At 37.2% G+C, this 7,942-nt stretch overlaps 1 annotated feature.

Annotated features, from left to right (window-relative positions):
• Positions 1,204–1,253: a silencer, noted in NCBI's record as "silent region_5802". NCBI's record gives its function as "represses an Ori minimal core promoter by ATAC-STARR-seq in GM12878 lymphoblastoid cells {active_cell/tissue: GM12878}" and the evidence as "EXISTENCE:reporter gene assay evidence [ECO:0000049][PMID:35858748]".

The following is a 7,942-nucleotide window of genomic DNA, read 5'->3' as shown; positions in this document are numbered from 1 at the left end:
GCAAGTTGCTTAACCTTTTGGAGGCATGGCTTTCTCATCTCCAAAATGGGTATAGTAATAACACCTACCTGCTAGGCTTGTTGTGAGAAACAAGTAAGAGGGCTTAGTAGGATCTGGTACAAAGTTAATATTCAATAAAGATTTGTTATTGTTATTATTATTATAAAAATGTGAGGTTATTTTCCATTTTCTCAAACGTAAATAGGACATCCATTCCTCAAAACATCCTTGAACATACATCACTTTTTGCATCTGATTAATTTTTGGAATCATTTCCTAGAAAGGGAATTCTTGGTTAATGCCTATTTTATTTTGATAATTTATCAGATTTTTATAAAGATGAAAAAGCAAATTCAAGCCTCAAGGGGAAAGGGTGAAAAGAATACATTCCCTGAACAAAATAAGTATTTTCCTACTCACTGTCCCAACATTATAGGGCAGATTCACCCATATCCTTAAAAGTTGAGCTTTCTATCCTTAAATTGAAGTAAAGAAGTTCATCCATAGGTCAAAATTAGCTCTTAACATAATGACAGGTCTGTTTTGGGCACTACTTAGATGGCATGCTGGAATGGTATTTTCTTTTTCAGTAATAGATTCTCACTTTCCTTTTTGAAAAGAAATGTGATTAAGCAAAAATCTATGCTCTTTTATTCATACAATTATTAAAAACTCATGGGAGCACAAGAAGTGGCTAAGAGGGTCCTTTCTGGAGGGACCCTCATTGTAGCTCCCCAGGTATAATTTTAATGAGCAATTAAGGAGTCTCGTCAATCAATTGTCAATTTCCTCAGATACACTTTTCATTCATTCTACATTCTGATTGAGGTTGTTAGCATATCTTTAGCTGCCTGCTTGCCACTACTTCTAAGAAAGGCCACAGCCTCTGTCCTGAATTCTTAGTTACTGGTCCATGAATACTCTACCCATGATGGCAGACAATGAGAAAATAATGAAAGGAAGAATGCACCTTCTGTCTTCCCTGCTCAGAAAATCCCTTCACCAGACTCACTTCTCCTACCTAATCCTTTGAATCTTTAGATTGCATATAAACATTGTTTTGGGTTCAGTTTAATGGCATAAGAGCCATTAAGAAATACTCCACTAACTTCCAGCGGTTTGAAGTCTAGATTCTGTGACAGATTGATATGTTTTAAAATGCACCCTTCCTGAAAGGACGCTCTGTAACTTACGTCTGTGCCACTTGCTTCTGCTGCCCTCCTGTGGCTTCCCGGGGTCCTAACAACGTGTGCAGCCTTTTGTCCAGCTGCCCAGTCTCACCCTTTGTCATCTGTTTTCTCTGCTGTTTATTCTCCTCTTTACCCTCATCTGTGATAGCTGTAGGAATTCAGGCCCTCAGTGACTCATCCAGATTTATGGCTCCAATTTGCCCCCAGGATTGCAATGTTATGCTCTGCTAGACTCTATTCCCTTCCAGCATTGGTGCTCCTCATGTGTGACTAAATGCTCTTTCTTCTTTGATAGGAAGTGTATATTCTAAGTAATGGTGCATTCAGTTAAGTGATTATTTGTTTAAAAATTATATTCTCAATCCTCGCTTATAATATGCCACTTCATCAGGCGCCAATGATCAGGCTGGGCACATGTGTTAGCAAAGCTTGGCTTGTTCACTGTGTGTATTACAGGCATTTGCAGGGAGATTTTTCGCAGGAGCCTTTGTCTTTTATTTTTTACTTTTCTCACCATGCAGTCAAATATGCCTTTTCTTAGTTCAGCGAGCCTTGTTAAGTTTGATCTACAATCTAGGGAAGACTTCTAATTCAGAGTAATTTGCCAAGATGAAAGACCTGATCTGCTTTAAGAGAAATTAATCATTTCCCTTTGCCTGGAACTTTCTCAAGTTTTGAGGAATGATTTTGTCTCCTTTCTGCATGGAAACATTCTTTTAAAATTTTTAAATATTTTAATTTCATTGCAAGACAATAGTAAGTGGGGTAAGACTGAGGTCTAGCATTAAGAACAGTTATCTACTCATTGTCTTTTAACACATCAGTACTTTTTAAAGAATGCAGGTAAATGATACTAGGTCCTGGATATATGACATATACTAGTGATTTATTTATTTTAATTAATTAATTTATTATTATTATTTTGAGACAGAGTTCACTCTGTCACCCAGGCTATAATGCAGTGGCGCGATTTCGGCTCTCTGTAGCCTCTGCCTCCCTGCTTCAAGTGGCTCTCATGCTTCAGCTTCCCGAGTGACTGTGATTATGGGTGCCCGCCACCACGTCTGGCTAATTTTTGTATTTTTTGGTAGAGATGGGTTTTTGCCATGTTGGCCAGGCTGGTCTTGAACTCCTGACCTCAGGTGATCTGCCTGTCTCAGCTTCCCAAAGTGCTGGGATTACAGGCATGAGCCACCGCCCCCGGCCTATACTAATGATTTAGATATTAGGACGAGTATGACCTCTAGTGCTCTCTACCTTTGTGACCAGGTCACTCAACCTCACAGCATCTCACTTTATTCATCTTTAAAATAGACATTATAATACATATTTTGCAGGGTTGTTATGACAAACCGATGTGACATTTTACACACTGTAAATCAAGATATAAATATAAAATATTATTATGTATGCCCTTTTTTGGGGGGAAATAAAGGAATACAGCATCAAAACAACCAACCAACAAAGATGCTTCTCTAATGGGCCCTTTATAAAACTTAGCTAGTAGCAGATAATTCAGAAAAATAAATTGTATTCTAAAGATAGTTTCTTCTATTGACCTATCTTAAATATGAGAACTTTTTTTTCTTTATTTCTTCTAAAACAAAAAAACCATGATACATGTGCAGAACGTGCAGGTTTGTTACATAGGTATACGTGTGCCACGGTGGTTTGCTGCACCTATTGACCTGTCCTCTACGTTCCCTCCCCTCACCCCCTACTCCTCAAAAGGCCCTGGTGTGTGTTGTTTCCCACTCTGTCCATGTGTTCTCAATGTTCAGCTCCCACTTATGGTGAGAACATGCGGTGTTTGGCTTTCTGTTCCTGTGTTAGTTTGCTGAAGATGATGGCTTCCAGCTTCATCCATGTCCCTGCAAAGAACATGATCTCATTCCTTTTTATGGCTGCATAGTATTCCATGATGTATATGTACCACACTTCCTTTATCCAGTCTATCATTAATGGGCATTTGGGTTGGTTCCATGTGTTTGCTATTGTAAATAATGCTGCAATAAACATATGTCTTTATAGTAGAATGATTCATACTCCTTTGGGTATATGCCCAGTAATGAGATTGCTGGATCAAATGGTATTTCTGGTTCTAGATCCTTGAGTAATTGGCATAATGTCTTCCATAATGAGAAGACAGAAAATATGAGAACATTTGTAGTGTATATAATTTACAGTTTCTACTATTAAAGCAAAACCTCCTAGCACAGATAGACCTTAGGTTGTAATTCACAAAACAATGAACTTGCATTTGGGGGAGAAAATAGGACAATTCCAAACTTAGATATTTTCGTAAGTGATTCTGGCCAGTTCCTGAGTCCAGTTGATTTTAAGGCACAAGATTGACCTGAAACAGTCAAAATGGTCACCTTACAAGAGAAATAGAGAAAACATAGCAGAAAATGCACGAGCATCATTAACAAATTCCTCTACGTGACTTCAAAGACACATTCAGGGAAGGCTACCCCCACTGAGGAATTGCTTTCCCAAGTCCTGTTGCTGCTGGCTTCAATGTGGGGCCACCTCATTTCATTAGCCTTCATTCTGCACAGCTGCCAACCATTACTTCCTCCCTTGGATCTTAGGAAGTCTTAACTGTCATTTCAAGAGTCAGATTATATAATAGTTTAACTGAAACATTGTAGTTGTTTTTGGCACAATGACCTATGTCAGATAAATTTTTAAAATAAGTAGAACACCTTTTTATTTAAAATTTGTTGATTTAGGAAGTATTTGTATAGGTTCGTTACATGGGTCTACTGAATGATGCTGAGGTTTGGGCTTCTAATGTTCTTGACACACAAGTAGTGAACATAGTACCCAATGGGCAGGTTTTCAACACGTGTTCCCCTTCCTCCCTCCCTGCTTTTTGGAATCCTCAGTGTTTATTGTTCGCATCTTTGTGTCTATGTCTACCCAATGTTTAGCTCTCTCTTAGAAGTGGGAACGTGTGGTATTTGGTTTTCTGTTTCTGTGTTAATTCACTTAGAATAATGGCCTCCAGCTGCATTTATGTTGCTGCAAAGGATATGATATCATTCTTTGTTATGGCTGAGTTGTATTCCATGGTGTATATGTGCCACATTTTCTTTATCCAATCCACTATTCATAGGCACCTGGTAGAGCCCCCTTTTAAAACCAAACCCCACATGGAATTCCAGTTTATAAAAGAGTTCAGAGAGGGAACTACTCCACTTGAAGGAGGGGTTGGGAAAGTGTCTAAAATATCTGAGATCCTCTTTCACCCCTTCTTCCAATCCTCTGGTAGTGGCTCCCCAGCCACCTCCAAAGATCTTTAAGACTCTAGGCAGCACAAACTGAAAAAAAGTAATCTATGCCAATATAACAATTGATTTTCTAAATAAGAAACTAGAACAAAATTCTACAATAATTAAAGGATTAGCTAGCAATGAAAGAAACCAGATCAGTCTTGAGAGAGAAGATTCCTGAGAAAAGAAGCAAAGGAACTGTCTGGAATCACGGTCATGTTCTGTATCTTGACAGGCGTATGGGTCATACAGGTGTAAGCTGTTGTCAAAACTAAAGTGTACAGTTAGGATCTATGATCTCACCATACATAACATAAAATAAAATAACTGAAGGCCAGATCCAGCTGAAATCCTGTTGGTCTCCAGATAAATACTGACTCATATTCACTTAACTAAAAAGATGCCCTGTGGCTTGAGTTTGTTTCATCTATAAAGATCAAGCACATGTTTATGGAGCATCACCTATTTTCGGCTATAATTCCAAATTAAGTAACACAATTCAACAACATTAGCTCAATGGTTGCAAGGTATATCATTGTTCAACTTATAGTCCCAATTTATCTTTGATAGCGATGCAGAAAGAACAAACTGCCCATATTAAATCAATCAATACTTCGTACCATGATCAGGAGACTAAGTACCATAATACCATGGACACCATTCCCAGAAAAATGACTCCGTAAAACAGCTGAGTTTCAGGTCAAAGTAAAGTGTTAATTCTCAACTGGAACTAAGAGTTAAGAATTTCATCCCCAAACAGTGGCTCATATAGTTTTTGATTCTTTACACACCATCATGATTTTGATCAAATCTAAAGATTTTCCCTTTAGATGTGTGTGCATGCATACACAAATACACATGCACACACTGCAAATATTGCAGGCATATTCAGAGGCTAATACTGCCCGAAGCCTATCCATGGATTCCAGGTAAAGAATCTGCACTCAAAATCTTTTCTCAGCTGCAGAAAATCTCATTTGAGACTAATCACTATAGTGTGGTAGAATAATAAAGAAAATTTCGCAGGGGCCATGAGTTAATGTTGTATTTCTGAGGTAGTTGGGTTTTTTTATTGTTGAGAAATTAGTTTTCTTCAAATTGGCTCACATTAAAATAATATCTAAGATATGTGCAGCATTGTTTGGTTTTCAGAGCACTGGCATATAATGCCATAAGACTTACTTCAGGAATTTTATATAATAGACATCCACTGAATTAAAATTTAAAGTCCTGTGTCTCACCCAGCAATTCTAGAAGGTTTCAACTTCATTTGTGGATAGGAAAACTCAAGTACAGAGTACCCAATATGAGCTGGCTAGTCAGCATCAGACTAAAAAGACTGAATCCTTGTTCCAGCAACAGCCCCTTTCTTTTGGCTATGTTGCCAACCAAATGTTTTAAATAAGTAAATAGCAACAAAACAATAATGATAGTTATTCACTCTGGACTGAGAATTTGGAGCCAGGATTTTAAATATGGGTTTACACTAAATGATAATCTTTAAAGATAATATGAGCATATTCTTTATCATCTGGCAATTGTCTTAAACTGAGATTGCTACTTCCTTCTCATTGTCCAAGTTTATATTTGTGCCTGCCACTGTGTTTGTACTGTGTGAAAGCCAAATAATTTCATGGCAGCCCACAAAAAAGAAAGGTTTCCAGAAGCTGAAATAGGGAAATGTAATGAGATCTATATTCACAGAGCACATAGTAGTTTGAGAAAGACGCTCAATGAATGCTGATGTTGATTGAACACTTAGTTCCAAAAATATCTTTCTTCTATAGTATCAATTTGGCAGGAAATATTATAATAAATATAAAGAAATTCTGCTTCCATATCGAGAAATAAATGGAGTAAATTCTCACTTGATGCAGATTTCACTTTTCTAAAAATACTAGCCTTAACATTAATCTTCACTAATTAACTAAAATTTTTATGTAAAAATTTCTTGTTTATAGGATTTTGATAAACTATAAGGTCCAACTAACTAACCTAAACTATCAAACAAATTTTTGAAGTTTGAAGTTTCATTTTGTGTAGCATATCTATGTGAGCAAGTCTTTTCTGTATTAGAAAGAGAAGCCAAAATGCTGCAGGGCGTAGAATCTGACATAAACCCTCATCATTTTAATGTTAAATTCAGCACCAGTTGATTTACTGTCAGCAAACAATATTATCTGCCATGTTAAATTAATACTATTCACTTAAACTATGTTTTTATTTGATTCATGTATTTGTTTTGATTTAAAAAAACTTGCAAGTATAAAGAACTTATTTCTAGGGTTGGGTCTAAATATTTCAATACTATTACAATAAAAACAAATCAATATTGGTGAAATTCATGAGAATATTTTTCCTTTGAAAGGGACCCACAGATTACTCAAGTTTGAGAAACCTTGGTCCAGATTAGCGTTGATTAATTTATCAGTATTCTTGAGATACATTTTTTTGTATCTCAAGATTTTGCCACGTAATTATCCAGTTTCTCAAGCTTATCCACAAGGAGATCATGACAAATTTTGTCAATTATCTTAATGAAATCAATACTTTTGGTGCCTATGATATTTCATTTAGTGATGCTATAAAAGATAATAAACTTTCGAATGGATTTAGTGGGTCACTTCATTTATCTGGAGACTCAATGAAAGCCACATGTGTTTCATCTGATCCACTCTGAAACACATTCATCACTATAGAGGAGATGGACTTCAAAGTGAGACTTAAGAAGCTTTGGTATCCTATGGCAAGCTTTGGGACTATGGGGGTCCTTCACTTCACTTTGGACAAGAAAGTGACATAGGGGACATAGAAGGTCTCAACACTGGGCTACAGTTTCCATCTCCCTCTGTCTCCCACTCTTTTGTACATGGAGTGGTGTCATCTCTTCTGTAGCTCAAGATCTGCCTGCATCTCAATGACCAACTGCAAGTAATCACAGTGTCCTTCTTCATTCTGGAAAGGACCATTCCAAGTCCTGAGACACGGCTTCTATTCCAGGTCCAAAGTCCAATTCCTGCCAGTCTCTAGATGCTGACCACACAAAATCTCATTTGTTTTCTGGTGTCATTTGAGGGGGCACATCCCCATCTAAGCAGTCACTGATGGCTGCGTATTCTAACCGACCTGCTGATCCTAATTCTGCCCAGCTCCAATGCCAACTTGTGCCACCCTGTGGCTGCTCTAAACCCTACAACTAACAGAATCTTCATACAAATTATCTCTAATGTCTGTAAGGTCTGTGAGAGGGGGAAACTTGTTTCTTTTGTTCTCGTTCCTATTTTGAATATTTAGCATGGTATGCAACATTTAGTAGGTTTTCAGTAAATGCTCATTCAATGAATGAATGAAAGCCTTAGAACATCCCCTAACCTACCAATTAAACAAGTACTTGAAGCATATATCTCTGGCTTCAGAACATAAATATATTTTTTTTAAATCTCAGGTTACTTCATTTGTGTGGTCTCCAGGTCC

The sequence above is a fragment of the Homo sapiens genome, chromosome 14 (assembly GCF_000001405.40).
Source record: "Homo sapiens chromosome 14, GRCh38.p14 Primary Assembly".
NCBI classification, from domain to species: Eukaryota; Metazoa; Chordata; class Mammalia; order Primates; family Hominidae; genus Homo; species Homo sapiens.
This window is presented reverse-complemented; position numbering and strand designations above follow the sequence as displayed.